Below are 19,515 nucleotides of genomic sequence, written 5' to 3'. Positions count from 1 at the left end.
CCAGGTCTCTCTGACCTCCCAATTCTTCTACTCTCTACTATACCAGAGCACCTTAGGTAGCCTTCCTTTTCCTCCTTTCCATTCTCTTTCTCCTCCTTTGTCTCTCTCTATCCATGTCCAGACTCTAAGATGAGGAAGCAGAAGAAAGAAAGGGTAAGGTGCAATGAGATTCACACCGGCGTTGTGTGCCATGCTCTCTGAGTAACTAGCATCTTAGGGAAACAAGGCCAGCAGTAAGATACATTTTAGGTGATTATTTTTACACCTTTCTTTCTTCTTTTCTTTTCACCAAATATTGTGTTCAAGTCTCAATTTCCCCTGTTACTAGCTGTATACTTGGCAAGGTACTTATCCACTCAGCCTCCATGTGCTCATCTGTAAAATGAGAGTAATAATTCGTAGATCTATGAGTTGTTGTGAAGTTTGAATGAGATAATAATATATGCAAAAAACATTTTGAAAACCGTAAGGTACACTCTAGCAATGTGATGAATTATTCATGCTTCTACTCAGGGTCAAAAAGGAAGTATAGTCATGCTGACTGTGGCTCTGACAACTGCCAGGTGCTTTCAAGGCTTTTCAGCAAAGTGTGGGTTTCAGACAAATGGGAAATCTAATAGACCACTCTCTGCAGTTGGCTGTATTTCCAGCCAGCACAGATATGATTATAATTAGAGTTTCAAGAGCCTGTTTCACATCAAAAGGATTCCTTGGCCCAGTCTGCAGTCTACCTGAGGTATGTGGCCAGATGTGATCCCTCTGGCAGCTGTTTTTATTCGGGCCCATTTGCTTCTTTTCCTGTGCTACCAGGAGTGTCTGTTTCTATTGTACTCATTATTTTCAGATACCAGGTGAGAAGAGATTTTCCATATGTGAGATTTCAGATGGTGACCACTGAGCAAAATGCATAGCTCTCGCCCCCTCTTCTCACTTCCTAAATGAACAGCAACTCTGACAAATTCACTTTAACAGAGCCAGGTCTTTTATTAGCAGCCAGAGAATAGTCTGTAATGGGAGGAATTACTCTGCCCGTGCATCTCTCCCAGGAAAAACATTCGTTAGCCTGTCAAGGAAGCGAAACCTCTTATTAGAAACTGTAGAAAAGTCAGTTTCTCCATTTTTGCTGCTAAAGGATTCAGAACACATCTCACTGCACACCTGAAATTAACAATTCAACTGGAAGGGGAGGTGAGCCCACTGGAGACAGGCGGAGATGGCTGAATGAGCAGGACTCCAGATCAGAGCTGAGCCCAACCTGGGTGTTCATGATTTCAAACCCCATTATGGCCTTTCCTGCAGGGTCCTTTTGATCATCATAACTCTTCACTGGGCAAAGTGACGATAGCGGTAAGACTCACCCAGTGTTCAGAGACAGATAATTTTTTTTGCTTCTTTTTATCTAGCTAATGATTTTCCAATTTTAGCCAGCAGTGCTGAGAAGCCACAACTGTCATAAGAGTCCTTGATGGGATTTCTCTGAGTGAAATTCAGAAGAAAAGCCCATATGTGTAAGTACAAAGAAGCAGGCTGGTTTCAAGCTGCCCCATTCGCTTTGCATTTATCCTTCTAAGCCACGGATTAAAACAAATGCTAATGATGGAGTTGAATTTTCAGGGAAAGGAAACAGCATCCAAGGTTTATGATCACTGGGGTCATAGGAATGGAGACTCCTCAAGGACGAATTCCAAGGAAAGGTCACCTTATGCCCTACGATCACCCACTATTCCTGCTGCACCAAACTATTGTTGGTTTTCAATTCTTGCATCTCATCAAGTCTATTATGCCATTGATTGCAAGAATATTATTTTAGGTATTAGTGAGAAAAGTTGCTGCTAATTAAAGTGAGAAACATATGGAGAAATATACCAGGCTGTTTCAGGCCACCGAGTCTTTTTTCTCTCTTGGGAGTGCCTCTTCTCTCACCAGCTCTTCTCCTGCCTGTTATGGTCTCTCCAAAATCACATCTTCCCTAGCTTTTGACTGGTATTTACCATCCAGTTCATGTGATTTTTGGAAGTTCATTGTGAGCTTCCTGTGAACAAAGATCATATTCTATTCACCAGGGGCCCATCAAAGCCGTGGGAGGACACAATGCTCCAGCACTTCTGCCCCTTCAGCCACTTGAGGATGCAGCAGAAGGTGCCATCTATGAAGGAGAGAGCAAGCCCTCACCAGACACCAAATCAGCTGGCGCCTTGATTTTAAATTTCCCAGCCTCCAAAACTATGAGAAATGAATTTCTATTATTAGAAATTACACAGTCTCAGGTATTTTGTTATAGCTGCATGAACAGACTAACATACAACCCAGTCTCCACCATATTCTTCCTTGATTGTGAGCAGCAGCACATCATGACCACTTGCTATAGAAGCTGCTGTTTGGCTCTAGAGAGGACACTGGTTGTTTCATGCCAGAATAAGGAGTGGAGCCATGTCCACAAGTGGAGACTGGAACAGAGAGGAAGCAACTTGGGTGAGATGACTGAGCTGGGAAGCAACTAAAGGTGCATCCATTAGCCCTTTGCTAGGGAGCCCCCAGCAACCAACCACTGCAGTGCAACTTATGTGGCTCTTCACTTGAGGCCAGGAGTTCGAGACCAACCTGGCCAACATAGCAAGACCTCATCTCATATATATCTATATACACATACATATGTGTGTGTATGTATATATACATCTATATGTACATACACATATACATGTGTATATACACACAAGTATACCCATATACATGTGTATAGATACACATATACATATACACATATATATATGTATATATACACATAAATATATGTGTGTGTGTGTGTATATATATATACTCAAAGTCTCTTGCCTTTATTCTCCAACCCAGGCACTGTGCCAGGAATTCAGAGTTAGAGATGGTAAGACCCCATTCCTGCCCTTAAGGAACATATGGTCTAACTCTAAACTCTTAGAAATAAATTTTCAGAAAGGTAGGTACCTTGTTCAAAGTCACACCATTTGTAAGTGGCTGGTCCAGTACTTGAACTCAAGTTTATGTCAAAGCCTCTCTCTCTTCAACTACACCATACTGCACCCTCTTATCACAGCAATATAATTACTTATCATTATTTTTTAGTTGTAGTTATTAAAATTTATTTAGCTCTCTAATAATTTATTTATTATCAGAGACATAAACTAGGGTGTAAAAGTACATTATTAATGCCAAAAATATTTACTTGTATTAAATGTATTGGATATATTCATAATAAAAGTGAAATTGGTTATCTCTGTCTGGGTGGGTTGAGTGATGTTTATTATCTTTTCTTATACTGTTCTGTATTTTGTAAAATTTAAAAAATAAGGTTGCATTGTGTTTATATTTTTTGAAAAGTTATTTTTTAAATAAAACAAATATATATGAAAATGCAAGACCATAAAGTGCTGATAAGCGTCAGCTACTAAATTAATTGCAATGTAATGAAATCCTCGAGTGCCATGCATTAGGTTAGAAACACAGCCAATCAACCTTGATAATTAATGGTGATCAATGCATCCTTAAGTAGGTACTCTCAGAGCCCAGGAAGACCGTGGTAATCCAGATTTCACTGTCAGAGATGTGGTGAACCTTTCTCTTTGTCCAGAGAGAGGGGACAGAACATCGAGGCCAAAACACCATCAGATATTGCAGCATCTAGAAAGTAGAAGACTCTCGTTTCTTCACTGGCAATCTCTCATTTTATAGAAGATTTTACATCTTTATGTATAGGAATGTCCAATTTTATTGTTCATATCCGTTATCAGCCACCTTCCCTCAAGGAATCCTGCTGGGAATTTGGTTTAAATGACACCACGTATGTAAATGTGGGTCTCTAGCTCCTTGCATTGATGGACAATCAAGAGCCTACTGCTGGCCCAGGCTCCTTGGAACATTTTGTAGGACATAAACCTTCCTTTGCCCCCTTAGAAATGAACCTCTGCCAGCAAGTGTCCACTCTTCTTACTGCAATGAGATCTAAAAATTTCTTCTCACATACTTACTGATCTTTGACCAACCACTTGTTTATACGAAAAAAAGAGTCCCTTTTCTTTGGAAAAAAAAAAAAAGGTTTGGTTTTCCCCTGCTGCTCAGTGAGTTAAGGCAAGCGATAGAATCTTCTAGGAATGTCAGCCTAGGAGCTCTAGGCATTCACACTTACCACATATCAAAGTAACAGAAGGAATATATTCCTAACTTAATACAAGTGTCCACCTAGACACTTATCATGTTCCTGCATGCTTTCAAGTAGTATGCTTTATAGCTGTGAGGCAAAATAATATTTTACAGTGTGTTATGATTTCAAAGACACACTCAGTCTCACTTTTATCTCATTTAACCATCACAGCAGCCCTATGGGAAACATATTACCTGCCTCTCAAGGAGGAAACCAGGTTCAGAAAGGCCACATGGTGAGTTCAAGATTACTAAGTCAGGAGTTAATCCTAGATCTTTCGACTTCAAATGCCAGGCAATTTCCACCGCTTTTCCAAAATTAAAAATTTTATCCTGGATTCTCCTTCTACCAAGCGAATGTGTAGGATGGGAACAATCCTATTCTGCAGCCATCTACTGCAGAAAGGAGAGAAAGTGGGGGAGGAGAGAAGCTAATATCTATTGAGCTTCTGCTCCATGTGGGCTGTTTTCCTTGCACTATCTCATTTAAACATCATCACTTTCTCTGTTTTGGAAAGGTTGGCCTTCTTAAGGACACACACACACACACACACACACACGCATCCTTTCTTTCTCCTGTCCCTCCAGTTCAGTTTTCTGTGTGACACAGATTACATGTTCTTCTCCTCCCTGGCAGGGTGTGTGCTGGTGGTGTCTGTAATAGAACAGCTTGCTCAAGTTCACAACTCGACGGTCCAGGCCTCGATGGAGAGACTGTGCAGCTACCTGCCTGGTAAATATGGGACGAGTCATACTGCTGAGGGTCTGCTTGTCCTCTCACTCATGAGTCATGATGACTGCCTTTACTTCCTGCCCACACTTACAGAGAAGAATCTGATTATGCTATTTCTGTGGGTTGATATTCTTGTGGGGCTTATAGAAATTAAAACCAAAAAAAAATGCTCTGGGCAACTTCTCCCTGACATTCATTTTCCATCATGGCACAATGAAATTGCTGTGGACCCTTAGGGAATAAAATGTTGAATGGCCAATTGTTGTTTGATGTGTTACATTAATAATAATTTGCCTACTTACTGATCATTGCCTTAAGTACTAAGAAGTCAAAATAATGAATAACTTCCAATAATTTTGTGTTAACTTGACCAACATTCACATACCAAGATGTACACCTAGCCCTACCAACACAGAACTTTGGGTTGAGAGGACAACTGATCTCAAAATTTCAAATGGGAAAATAATCTAGAACATTTCATTAATTTAAACTAGATCTCAATAAAATACCTTATACATCCACCAAAGGTAGAAACTGATTGGTGGTTCAAGCAAGTTGCATATTTCTTTTTCAATATTAGTAGAAATAAAATATTAATCATATTTCCATTATAGAATACTGTTACTTGAACAGTCGTAATGAATAAACTTCTTTGACAGTCAAATTTTTATTCACTTAATGGGAACTAATTCATCTAGGGTGCCTACATTATTTTTTCTGTTAAGTAAGGTAGTTGGAATAATGGCAATTGTATCTTTGATTGACACAGTATGCTGTGCCAATAGCATCAAAGTCTTTTCAGAGAAGTTGTTCCGTTTAGTCATAATATGCATTCACAGGCTAAAATGTTTAGAATTCAAAAACAAAGACTGGGAGAGGATAATACACAAACACAAGTGTTTAGAATGTCCCAAATGGACCATTAAGATTTTAAAATATTCACATCATAATTACATCTTTCTTTTGTGAAGTTAAAACATGGCAGCTAAACTTCAGCTTTCCCTTCTTCCAGTTCCATTCTCCCCTGCCCCACCTCCCTAGAAGGAACCCTTCACATGAACTTAATGGGTATCATTCTCATCAGATTTTATATTTACACATTCACTTGTATGGATTCATGAATAATGTGTAATATTGTTTTGCCAGTAATGTTTTTGGTTTTTCTTTGTAAAAACAAGACAACTGTAGAAAACCACGCAAAGCAAATGTATAGCTTCATCCGTTACTGAAAGATGAATGCCCTAGGAAACATAGCCTGGGTCAAGAAAGAACAGATCAGTGGCCTCCCCTGAAGTCCCATCCACATGCTCCATCCCATCCTCCCCCTGCAAAAAGCTCAATGTGCTGATTTTTATGGTAAAATTATTTTATTTATAGCTTTATCACTCAGTGAGCATCCCTAGATATCGTAACCTTGCCCGGTATTTAAATGTTTGATGTGTCTTTTGAGTCTATTTTAATCTATAAGTTTCCTTTCCACCCCTTCCTTTTTCTTATCACTTAGTTGTGGAATTTGACCTGTAGAGTTTCCCACAGTCTGGATGGTGTTGATTGCATTCCTTTAGTATAATTGAGTATGTTTCTCTGTGCTCTGTATTTCCTGAAAATTGGCAGCTTGATCAGAGGTTTGATCCTATTCCAATCTGATTTCTTTGACAAGCCTATAAATGATATTGTTTTCCTTCATCAGGAGGCCGCCATAGGTGCTTTTATCTTTCATGTTTTCTTTTCTCTCTTCTTCTTCTTCTTCTTCTTCTTCTTTTTTTTTTTTTTTTTTTTTTTTTTTTTTTTTGAGACAAGGTCTCAGTCTGTCGCCCAGGGTGAACTGCTCACTGCAGCCTTGACCTCCCGGGCTCATGAGATCCTCCTGCTTCAGCCTCCCAAGGATCTAAGACTACAGGCTCACAGCATCACACCAGCACCAGCTAATTTTAAATTTTTTTGCTGAGACAGGGTCTCTCTGTGTTGCCAAGGCTGGTCTCTAACTCCTAGCCTCAAGTAATCTGTCCATCTTGGCCTCCCAAAGCGCTGAGATGACAGGTGTGTTGTGAGCCACTGTGCCAGGACTTTCTTTTGGTGATGGTCGCAGCTGTCGATGTTCAATGATGAGATCTATTAATTTATTTGGGTTTTAAAACTGTGATATTCTTATCTATTATTTCTTATTTATTAATTGACATATAATGGACACTTCTCACATCATATTTTAGAAACATTTTTCCCACAGTACTTAGTGGAAAGGCATCTAGGAAAGGCAGGATAAATGCTTGATTCTTTTCTTGTATCAGTTTTCAAGGTAGTGCATTGGTTTTCTGTTATCATCTCACAGCAAGCAGTTAGTTTTTCCTTAAAATATCATGATAAACTTATGAACTTAAACACACCTGATGGGTTTCAGTCAAGTGCAATTATTATCCTTTTGAAGCTCAGATGATCCCATCGAGCTTTGACCAGTGGCACCTCCTTCAAGCTGACTCAAGTCCTTTGCACATGAGCCTCAGTAACCTTCGATAGTTTCCTCACTAACTGGTATGACAAAGTGTTCCAGCCCTATCTGGTACATATCAAGCCTGAGGCTTGAAATCAGTCATTTCTCTTAAAAGCCCTGGTTTCTTTTAGTGAGAAATAATGTTTCAACACCACAAACCAGATGCTTAGGAATGTTCATTGTTACTGAGTTGGCCACTCTTTTTTTTTTTCTTTTTGAGACAGAGTCTTGCTCTGTTGCTCAGGCTGGAGTGCAGTGGCTCCATCTTGGCTCACTGCAACCTCTCCCACCCTTGTTCAAGTGATTCTCCTGCCTCAGCCTCCTGAGTAGCTGGGATTACTGGAGCCCACCACCGCACCCGGCTAATTTGAGTTGCCCATTCTTTCTAGGCCTTTTCAGTGGACAGAAATAGGAAACATGTATATACATTTACACATGTCAGCTTTAAGATAAAATATCTGAGTTCATACTGACACTTCAAATTCAAGTTCAGAACCACAATATTTTTTTCTTAATGTCTTCTGTATTATATCTGTATCTCCTTTCCACACAAACTCCCAATTGTCAAGCACAAAGGGATTGATAGAATTAAAATCTCCAATCATTACTCATTTACCTATCCTTCCTTGCACATAAAACAGTCTCAGAATATCAATTCTAATGATACCATCATTAATATATTTTCTAATTCTTATGAGCAGTTAAAATTGTTTTTTTGCATATGCCTTTCCCATTTCTCCACCCTTTTGAATCATTGTCCTACCTTATCTGAGCATATAGCCACTACATATAACACCTATTCCCTTTTCACCCTCATTTAGTCTTAGCTGCATCAGCAACTGTATGATTAATGTTCACCACCAGCCCTTCTATGAATTCTCTCTCTAGTTGAATTGTTGTCTAAAGTTCATTCCTCCAGAAGGGCTCATAGCTACAAATATTCCTTGAATTCTTGCATGTTGATAACAGGCTGTCTGCGCCCTTTATACTTGAAAGTCAATGCTTTTCTGTATATAAAACTCCTTGGCACATGATGTCTTTCCCTGAGCATCTTAAATATAGTATTCAAAAGCCTATTGATAATCTAATTTACCTTGTCCTTACAAGTTATTTGCTGTTTATACTTTGAAGTTCAGAAGATTTTTTTTCTATAAAACTTAGTCATCTAACTAGAAGATAATTTGGTGCCAGCTGTTGTGTATTGATGTTCTCAGGCATGCAGTGTGCTCTCTCAATGTGATTTCAAATATATATTTTCTAATTTTAGGAATGTTTTAGTGTTTGTTCGGTTTCCTTGATTTTGTTTTTTTCTTCTGGGATTTCTATTATCCACATTTTGAATCTTCATTGCCTGTCTTTGCTATTTTGCCTATCTCTTGAATTTATTTTAATCTCTTTATTTATTTTTATCTTAAAATTTTTCCTCCTCTCTACCTTCTATTTCACTTAAGACCTCATCTACTGTTTTCACTTGTTCTTGTATTCATTCTAGTTTAGACTTCACTTCTTTATTCTTTATTTCATGTTTTATTTTTTCCTGAGTTCTTTTATTCCATATCTGAGTTTTTCTAATTCTTATTCTTGCTATTTTTTCATGTCTTATATCATTTTATTAATGCCTCTTAGCTCATTTTAAAATAATATGTTTAGAAATAATATCTTATGTTTTAATCCTTTTTTGGCATGACTTTCTGGCATGCTTTTACTATCTGTAGGGATGTTATTCTGTTCCTTAATCTTTTTCTTCTTATAATAACTTTGTATGGGAGTTGACCTAGATACATTTCTGTTGCTCATTTTTATGTGAAATTAGTTTTCAAAAACTCTTAGAAAGAGAGGCGGTTCGGGGTAGTTTTTCTAAATGCACAGAGCTCCTTCTTCTGTTGTTTTGGGGTAGTGTTAAAAAAAAATTGTGGCAGCTTGCTTTCTGAGATTTTTCTGACTGTTTCCCTATTTACTTTCATCTGGACTTTCTCTATCCCCAAAAGTTACTCCTCAGTGTGGGCCTTGCCCTGGAAGGGAGCTCCAGTGGGTCCCTTGTGGGTGCCAGATGACTCTAGCCACTAATTCCTTCTAGTCTTGAACTCTTTGCATTCACCAGCTATTGATTGGGCAAAACCCCTCCCCGTCCAGTGGCTGTTCTCTAATTGGCCTGCCATGCTTTCTGCTCAACACCTGTCAGCTATCTGGGGATTCTCCTGTTCTCAGTTTTATCTGTCATCCATTGCTTCCCTCTACTTTCTCCCTCACAGAAGTTGATGGCCCATAGGTCTTGCAGTTGCGAAGTGGTTTATTCTCACCTAATTGCACATTGGGGTTCATGGATATACCTAGCTTTGTGGTAACTGCTTTCTGAGGGTTTTCGGTCTTGCTATTCAGGTACTCTTATTTATTTATTTATTTATTTCTGGAGACAGAGTCTTGCTCTGTCACCCAGGCTGAGGTGCAGTGGCGCAATCTCGGCTCACTGCAACCTCTGCCTCCTGGGTTCAAGCGATTCTCCTGCCTCAGCCTCCCGAGTAGCTGGGATTATACCCATCAGGATGCCTGGCTAATTTTTGCATTTTTAGTAGACACGGGGTTTCACCATGTTGGTCAGGCTGGTCTTTAACTCCTGACCTCAGGTGATCTGCCCGCCTCGGCCTCCCAAAGTGCTGGGATTACACTCCTTTTTCTTTTGTAGAGATTCAAAGAGATTTCAAAATTCTGCTGCCTCCACCACCATCTTTCCATACTCCTCCCTTGCGAAGGCTTTAATTTGACATCAATGGTCTACTGTATGCGTTGCTCAGCAAGTTTTTTTTTCACGCAACATGATTTTAAGATCTATACATGTTAAGGCATATAGGCCTAGGTCAAGTCTCTTAATTACTCTATACTTCTTTACCATATAAGTTCTATATTTTATTTGTTTATTCCTCTATTGAACATTCACAATTTGTTATAAGCTTTACTTTGTATTTTCACATCTCCGAGTTACAGAAGAAGAAGAAAAATATTATTACTATTTTACAGAAGGAAAACAGTGAAGAACAGTCACAGTTATCATTAAGCTTTGTTTTAACTGGTTGCCTTTCTGTGTGATAGACAGCATTGGCAGGTATAACCTCAAGTTAGATGTTCTCTTTTTTGGCAAAGTTGCGTCGTCCGAAGGTGAACGACCGACTAAAAATCCTATTTCCTAGATTATTCCCTCTTCTTAATATACTAGCAAAATATAAAACAACCCAAAACAAGATTGCTGGTTCAAGGTACCATCTTAGCTTCTTCTGACTTCGAACAGGAAATGTCAGAGCCTGGTAAGATCAAGTGAGAGGCTGAAAGTCAGATTCTGGTGAAGTGGAAACCGGTATCTCACCAAGGGAAACAGGATAAATATTTTGGTTTTCAGTGATGGGTTGCCTTTTCAACTGGAGCAATTTTAAAGGATTAAGAAGGTTATTGGGAGTTATTTTCATTTTATCAATTCTTGTTTTACCTCCAGCTGAAAATAGAACACTCAGTTCAGGTTAAAGGACACCATGGGCAGTATTGCTTCCATTTTATGGATGAGAAAAACAAGACACAGAAACAGAATGGTTATGTCAGTTGTATGGGGTGGCAAAGATAGACGTTCTCCTAGCTAAGGATTTCTCCTGGAAGACATAATAGGCCTGACCCACAGTGCCTACTGGGATCCAATATTGCATTGCCTTCTGTCTGGTAGGCCAGGTGAATGGGGGACAGAAGGATATGAAATTAAGCACATAAACACACAATTATTTTTAAATTATTTTTCAGTGAAGTATTACTTTCACCTCCAAAGCTAAAAAAGTACAAAAAACAAAGTTTTAGCAGGGAAATCGCGTAAGCACCATTCTTGAGAATAATCTCTTAGTAAATCATGTTGCCTTTCCCTGTGCCCTATAAGACAGTTTTTTTCTAATCGTGCAAAGCATTTCTGACCCTCAGTTTCATCCACTGCTTTTGCCTCTGGCTCTCATTAGGAAGCACCTTGGAAGAATCTCGGAATTGTTAATGGAAAATGATTAATGGAATCATTCTCACTAGTCAGGGGTCAACAGAATCATATGCCCTGAGAGTCTTGCTACAAGTTCACTTTCCTGGGTCACCTATGCAGAAATTTTATCTCTGTGGAATATAATTGTTAAAAACTCATGTAGTCTTAAAAGAAAGAAGGCACTTCATGCCTACTCTGGAGGTTCTGAAAGTCTGAATGCATCCCAGAATATGTACTTATAAAATTGTGTGGTTGGCCGGTTGTGGTGGCTCATGCCTGTAATCCCAGCACTTTTAGGAGGCCAAGGCGGGCGGATCACAAGATCAAGAGATCACGACCATCCTGGCCAACGTGGTGAAACCCCATCTCTACTAAAAATACAAAAATTAACTGGGCGTGGTAACATGTGCCTGTAGTCCTAGCTACTCAGGAGGCTGACGCAGAAGAATTGCTTGAACACTGGAGGTGGAGGTTGCAGTGAGCTGAGATTGCACCACTGCACTCCAGCCTAGGGACAGAGCAAGACTCCGTCTCAAAAAAAAATAATTATGTGGTCCCTTGGTGGCACTGTGCTTCAAGTTTGTATATAATAATTATACATATGTAATAATGTATACATATTATACATATAATAATGTATACATATTATACATATAATAATGTATAACAATATCTGCTATACTTGAGGTAGATAAGGCATCAAATAAAATGTCCTAAGCACATTGAAATGTATACTACAAATAACAAGACCTTTTGGAGTATTTTAATCTCAGCTGAACCACTTGCTATGTTGTGATCTTAAGCTCTCTAAGTCTTAATGTTCTTGTCTATAGAATGAGGATAAAAATAATTACCCCCTCAAAAGATTCTTTTTTTTTTGAGGCCTCAATACTTTTTTTTATTTTTATTTTTTATATATATATTTATTGTACTTTAAGTTCTAAGGTACATGTAAACTAGTTCAACCATTGTGGAAGACAGTGTGGTGATTCCTCAGGGATCTAGAACTAGAAAAGATTCTTATGAGAAAGGAAGTGATGGTAAACATGAAGGTAACTTACAAATTGGAATGTCCTATGTTTTATTTACACATACATCTGTATACACCCAATGTATGATAACTACTTAATTGGTCTTATTTTAACTTTATTTTGTCCTTTGGAATAGCCACATTTTCTTTTTTCCTATGCTGTTCCAAGTCTCTTTTAATCTGTAGAAATTAAATACTCTTGTATGATCCTTGTCACAGGCAGAGTTTAACAGTATAATTTTTACTTTAGCTAAGCTACTGTCAATATGTAAATGCCAAATTTTTCTTCAGGTGTATCAGTAACAATCAGGTTACCATCTGATCATGGCTGACTGGGGATAGCTGGCTCTTTCTGGAGATTTTGCATATTTCTGCTTTGTACCCTTACGGATTGCTCTCAGAATTTAGCTCTCAGAGAGCATTTCCTGTCCCATATCAGCCATTGCTCCAGGGGCCTCTCAAGCTAACAATCACAGAAGACTACCGGAAACTATTCAAATGGTTCTGCTCAGGGAGGAAGGAACCTGCAGCCATCCTCTTTGACTTGAGCTAAACAGAATTCTAACGCGCGCGCGCGCGCACACACACACACACACACACACACACACACACACACACACACACACACACTGCTTATCTTACCAGAAAGAAGATGAATTTTCTCTGCCTTTCAGCCAGTATTAGAACTTTATCAAAGAACACCCTAATGTCCATTTTTAAATTGCTCTGCTCTAGGCTAAGCCAGTTCTGCATTAGCAGTACTTTTAACTTTTTTCCAAAGCTCCTTCATTTAATTTGGAATATCTCTTACAAAAGTCCCCAAACTTAGCAGACATTATAGTGATAGAGACCAAATCCTACACCCACATTTTTCAGATGAGGAAATGGAAGTCCAGAAAGGGGAGGCAATTTCTCCAAGGCCAGAAGCCAGTGGGCTGGTACTGAATGAAATGCAGGTCTCTGAGTATACTGTGACATCAGAGCTTCTTGACCCTCTCCACAGTAGCACCCCTAAAAAGGATCCCAAGGGAGAGGGAATCTGTATTTAAACACTTTTATTAAGCTACAATTCACATACTGTACAGTTCACTCATTTAAAGTGTACAATTTAGTGACTTTCAGTACAGTCATAGAGTTGCGTGTTCATCAGTCACCACAATCAATTTTAGAACATTTTCATTACACCAGAAAGAAACTACATGCCTTTTAGCATCCGCCCCCAAACACCCACTCTTTCCAGCCCTAAGAAACCACTAATCTACTTTCTGTGTCTATGACTTTGCCTGTTTTGGGCATTTCATATAAATGGAATCATACAATATCTGGTCTTGTGTGACTGATTTCTTTCCCTTAGCATAGTGTTTTAGAGATTCACTATGTTGTAGCATGTATTATAACTTTATTACTTTTTACGGCTGAATAATATTGCATCGTATAGGTATACCACGTTTGTTGATCTATTAGCTGATAGGTATTTGAGGAGTTTACATTTCTTGGCTATTATGCAAAATGCTGCTATAAATATTTGTGTACACATTTCTGTGTGGACATATGTTTATATATATATATAAACTGGATCACATTGCTGGATCATATATAAACTGGATCATATTGCTGGATCACATAGTAACTCTATGTTAAACAGTCTGAGGAGCTGGTAGGCTGGTTACAAACTGGCTGCACGAGTTTACATTGCCATCAGCATTGTACAAGCTTTTGATTTCTCCACATCCTCACCAACACATATTATTCTCTCTTTTATTATAGCACATTATAGTGGACATGAAGTTGTATCTCATTTTGGCTTTGAATTGCATTTCCTTGGTAGCTAATGATGTTGAGTATCTTTTCATGTGGCTTTTGGACATTGGTATATCTTCTTTGGAAAACTGTCTATTCAGATTCTTTGTACATATTTTAATTGGACTATTTGTCTTTTTATTATTGAGTTGTAATAGTCCTTTATATATTCTAGCACTGTGATAGGTCATTTGATATATGATTGGCAAAAATTTTCTCCCATTCTGTGGGCTGTCTTTTTACTTTCTGTTGGTGTTCTATGAAGTGCAAAACTTATTGTTATTTTAATGAAGTCAAGTTTCTCTGTTTTTTTTTTCTTCTTTTGCTTGTGCTTTTGGTGTCATATCTAAGAAAACGTTGCCTAACCCAAAGTCAGTAAGATTTATGCCAGTGTTTCCTTGTATGAATTTTACGGTTTTCACTCTTACATTTAGGTCTTTGACCCGTTTTGGGTTAATTTTTGTATATAGTGTGAAGTAAGTGTCCAAATTCATTCTTTTGCCTGTGGCTGTCCAGTTGTCCCAGCACCATTTGTTAAATTCCTCCAATGAAATGGTCTTTGCACTTTTGACTAAATGTTAGGGTTTGTTTCTGAACTATTGATTCTATTTCATTGATCCATATGTCTGTCTTTATGTTAATACCATGCTATCTTGATTACAGTAGCTGTCTAGCTTTGAAATTGTTTCCCAATGTCAGTCCTCCAACTTGTTCTTCTCTTTCAATATTGTTTTGGTGTTCTGAGTCGCTTGACTTTTCGTATGAATGTTAGGATCTGCTGCTCAGTTTCTGCAAAGAAGTTAGCTAGGTTTTTGGTAGAGATGGCATTGAATCTGTGGATCAGTTTGGGAAGAATTGCCCTCTTAACAATATTAAGTCTGCCAATTCATGAATATGGAATGTCTTTCCATTTATTTAGGTCTACTTTAACTTCTTTTAACAATGTAGTTTTCAGAGTATATATTTTGCACTTTTTTTGGTTAAGTTTGTTCCTAAGAATTTAGTTCTTTTTGATGCTACTGTAAATGGAATTGTTTTCCTTAATTTCAGTTTTTATTTGCTCACTTCTGCTACATAGAAATACAATTGGTTTTGCATATTGATCTTGTATCCTGCAGCTTTACTGAACTTATTTATTTGTTCTTATAGTTTTTAATAGATTCCTTAGGATTTTCTACATGGAAGATCATATCAGCCACAAGATAGTCTTACATCTTTACTTTCCAATCTGAATGCTTTTTATTTCTTTTTCTTGCCTCATTCTCCTGGCTAGAACTTATAACGTTGAATAAAAGTAGTGACTGCAGATATTCTTATATTTTCCTGATAGTGAGGGGACAGTATTTAATTTTTCACCACTAAATATCATGTAAGTTGTCAGGTTTTTTGTAGATAACCTTTATTAGGTTGAGGACATTCCCTTTTATTCCTAATAAAATCATGAAGCAGTGTTATATTTTGTCAAATATCTTCTGCCTATATTGGATAATCATATGGTTTTTTTTATGTTGTTGATATGGGAGTAATACATTAACTGATTTTCAGATGTTAACCCAATTTTGCATTCCTGGGATAAATCCCACCTGATCATGGTGTATAATTTCTGTATTGCTGGATCTTATTTGCTAGTATTTTGTTGAGGATCTTTGTGGTTATATTCATGAGAGATTTGGGTCTACATTCTTTCGGAGGAAGGTTTCTGGTTTTAGTATCAGGGTAATATTAACCTCATAAATAAGTTAAGAAATGGTCACTCTGCTTCCATTTTTTGGAAGAATTCTTGATAAATTGTTAGTAATTCTTTAACTTTTTTGTAGATTTGCCAATGAATCCTATCTGGTGCAGCTAGCTGGTCTTAGGCTTTCCTTTGTGGGAAGTTTTTAATTACTAATTCAATCTCTTTACTTGTTATATGTTTCTTAAAATTGTCTATTCTTGAGTCCATTTGGGCATTATGTGTCTTTCTAAGAATTTTTTATTTTATCTAAGTTACCTAATTTATTGCCATGCACCTGTTCATAACATTCCATTATAATCCTTTTTATTTCTTTAAGGTCACTCATAATGTGAGGACACAGTTTTAATTGCCTACTTCAAAGGCACAATTTATTTATTTATTTATTTGAGACGGAGTTTCACTCTTGTTGCCCAGGCTGGAGTGCAATGGCACGATCTCGGCTCACTGCAACCTCCACCTCCCGGGTTCAAGCGATTCTCCTGCCCCAGCCTCCCTAGTAACTGGGATTACAAGCACCTGCCACTACACCCAGCTAATTTTTTGTGTTTTTAGGAGAGACGGGGTTTCACTATGTTGGCCAGGCTGGTCTCAAACTCCTGACCGCAGGCGATCTACCCGCCTTGCCCTCCCAAAGTGCTGGGATTACAGGCGTGAGCCGCTGCACCCAGCCGAGCACAGTGTATTTAAAGTCTCGTACTTTTTTGTCTAAAAAGTCATAGAATAGATCTATTTTAATACAAAAATAATATTTCACATTATTTAACATTAAGCAAAATTGAAGTACCAGGGAGCATTCCCATATTTATCTTGTTTCACCACTCCATCATCCAGCAAGGCCCGGGCCCCCCTATGTGAGACACATCATGACAAGATAGATTCTCCTTAATCAGGGTTTTCTAGCTCTTTCCAGGACAGCTGATCTGTCCCTAACTCTGCTAAGATCCTGAGTTGAATTACCAGGGCTCCACAATAGACTCACAAACTGGAGAAACAGGACCAAAGAGCTAACAAGTTTCATTGGGTGGATAGAGGAACTCACAAAACATTCATGTGCTCTCATAGGTCAGGGGAGATTATGTTGTTAGTAGGAGTATTTGTGTGGAGTGTATCTATGTCCTGTGATGAAGGTGGCAGTGCAGGATCACCTGTAACTGTCATCTCCTTTTACCTCTGGGATAACAACAGCAAAAACTAAGGACCCCAAGTGAAGTATTTTCCTTTGAATAAACACCAGAAAAGACCATTTCTAACAGAGCTACATTTCAGATGATTGACTAATGCAAGTCTCATTTCTTTCAACTTCAACAAATGAGGTCATAGCCAACATTCAGGTATTCCCTGTAGAAAAAAAAGAAAGAAAGAATGAACGAAAAGGAAAACCCAGCATTAAACTGTGTTTTTAGAATAAATTGGTTATCTTTAACCTGGACGGTTAGGTGGCATTCACATAAACCTGAGATAGAAGTGATATTTAATGCATACATTAGCTGAAACATTTCCTTCAAATCCTTAAAATTAAATTAATCATAAATTAATCACTCAGCTTCAGTTCCTAGCAAAGATAATCATTATTAAGGTGTGTTAAATTCGTCGCAATAAAAATATATTCAATTTCCCTCTTTATATTTTTTAGAAAAACTGTTCTTGAAAACCACCTGCTATTTAGTCATTGACAAGTTTGGATCAGACATCATAAAACTGTGAGTATGCCATGACACATAACTCTGATTCCATTGCTGGGACATGGGAGGAACAAGAAAACTGGGAGGTGGGAGGCTCTGTGTTCAGCATGATGCGCTTTCTGGACAGGGCTCGAGGTGTTATTCCAGCTCTTAGTAATAGTGGAAAATTGGAACCTAATTTGGATCCTTCGTCACTCTACGCAAAGGCTCCCCTTGAATTACAGTGTGGTAACCTGTACTTGGGTGATTGAACCTTTCTCCTGAGCCCTCTCCGCCTCCCTGGATTCCCAGGCCACATCTTCTCTCCCCACTTAGCTGGTTTCCTGGCTTCTCTCCGCCTCCCTACTCCCAGCCCTTGCTCCTCGCATTATCACAGTCTGCTTTTTCTTTTACTGTTTTTCTTTTTTTCCTTTTTTCTTTTCCTGAGACAGAGTCTTGCTCTGTAGCCCAGGCTGGAGGGCAGTGGTGTGATCTCGGCTCACTGCAACCTCCACCTCCCAGGTTCAAGCAATTCTCCTGCCTTAGCCTAAGAGGCTGGGATTACGGCGGGCATGTGCCACCACACCGGCTAATTTTTGTATTCTTAGTAGAGATGGGGTTTCACCATGTTGGCCAGGATAGTCTCAAACTCTTGACCTCATGATCCACCCACCTTGGCCTCTCAAAGTGCTGGAATTACAGATATGAGCCACCAGGCCCAGCTACTATTTTTCTTTTTTTGAGCTCAGGGCACTGAATCAAATAAGCCCTGTTTCTCAGTTCATGGCAGTCTCTCATCAATGATCCATACATGGCTGTCTTACACTTTTTATATTCTTATTTAGTTACTTTGAATACTGAAATAAGCTCCTGAACCCACCACCCAAAACAGTCTAGGACCTTGACCATAACTTTCTCTGCTCCTATGGTCCCTCCCCTTTATTCTCAGGCTTTTCCCACCCAAGTGAGCATCATCCTAAATTCCGTGTTCATCCTTCTTCTGCTTTCTATAAAAAAAATTATGGAGGTTTTTCTATAGTTTTATTATGTATAAAATATACAAATATAAATCATTCATTATCATATAATACATGTTATTATAAACATTTTATAATTTATTACACATAAATTATATGTTTAATTGCTTTCTGGTTTTAACTCTTGTGAACAGTACTCCTAGGAACATTCTATTTTTTTTTAACTTTAAGTTCTGGGATACATGTGCTGAACATGCAGGTTTGTTACATAGGTTTACATGTGCCATGGTGGTTTGCTGCACCTATCAACCCGTCATCTGGGTTTTAAGCCCCACATTCATTAGGTATTTGTCCTAATGCTCTCCCTCCCCTTTCCCCCACCTTCTGACAGGCTCTGGTGTGTGATGTTCCCCTCCCTGTGTCCATGTGTTCGCATTGTTCAACTCCCACTTATGAGTGAGAACATGTGGTGTTTGGTTTTCTGATCTTGTGATAGTTTACTGAGAATGATGGTTTCCAGCTTCATCCGTGTCCTGCAAAGGACGAGCACTCATCCTTTTTATGGCTTCATAGTATTCCATGGTGTATATGTGCCACATTTTCTTTATGCAGTCTATCATTGATGGGCATTTGGGTTGGTTCCTAGGAACATCCTTACATGATTCCTCTTCAAGGGGCCATTAGCCTTACAGCAGAGATGTTCACAAGACAGCATCCCCCCTCTACAACAGGGTAGCCTAGAGTCTACAACATTTTAAAGACAGAAGGAACTTAAAATCATACAGGCAGGGAGGTCATCAGTAATCTGTCATACTGTGCATCTGCCTCTCTTAATAGCGATCTCGCTCTGTTGTGGCAAACAATTTTTCATAACCCCTGGGCTGTGTTTGGAAGGCAGGGACCCTTTATTCTTAG

At 38.6% G+C, this 19,515-nt stretch overlaps 1 protein-coding gene across 14 annotated transcripts in view; it reads left to right on the top strand.

Moving 5' to 3' along the window:
- Positions 1-19,515, top strand: part of AOAH (acyloxyacyl hydrolase) — a 211,554-nt gene that overhangs the window by 32,890 nt on the left and 159,149 nt on the right. For 11 of the 14 annotated variants that reach the window (XM_017012102.3, XM_011515333.3, NM_001637.4 and 8 more), the window contains exons 2-3: positions 4,811-4,906; positions 17,596-17,662. In XM_017012102.3, the coding sequence (XP_016867591.1) occupies positions 4,811-4,906; positions 17,596-17,662 (163 nt within the window). Of the gene's footprint in view, positions 1-1,424; positions 1,509-4,810; positions 4,907-17,595; positions 17,663-19,515 lie in introns of all 14 variants that reach the window. The other 3 variants (NM_001177507.2, XM_011515334.3, XM_011515335.3) reach the window with 2 other exon arrangements.

This window comes from Homo sapiens, chromosome 7, assembly GCF_000001405.40.
Source record: "Homo sapiens chromosome 7, GRCh38.p14 Primary Assembly".
NCBI lineage: Eukaryota > Metazoa > Chordata > Mammalia > Primates > Hominidae > Homo > Homo sapiens.
Note: the sequence above shows the minus strand (reverse complement) of the source record. Positions and strands in the feature narration are given on the sequence as shown.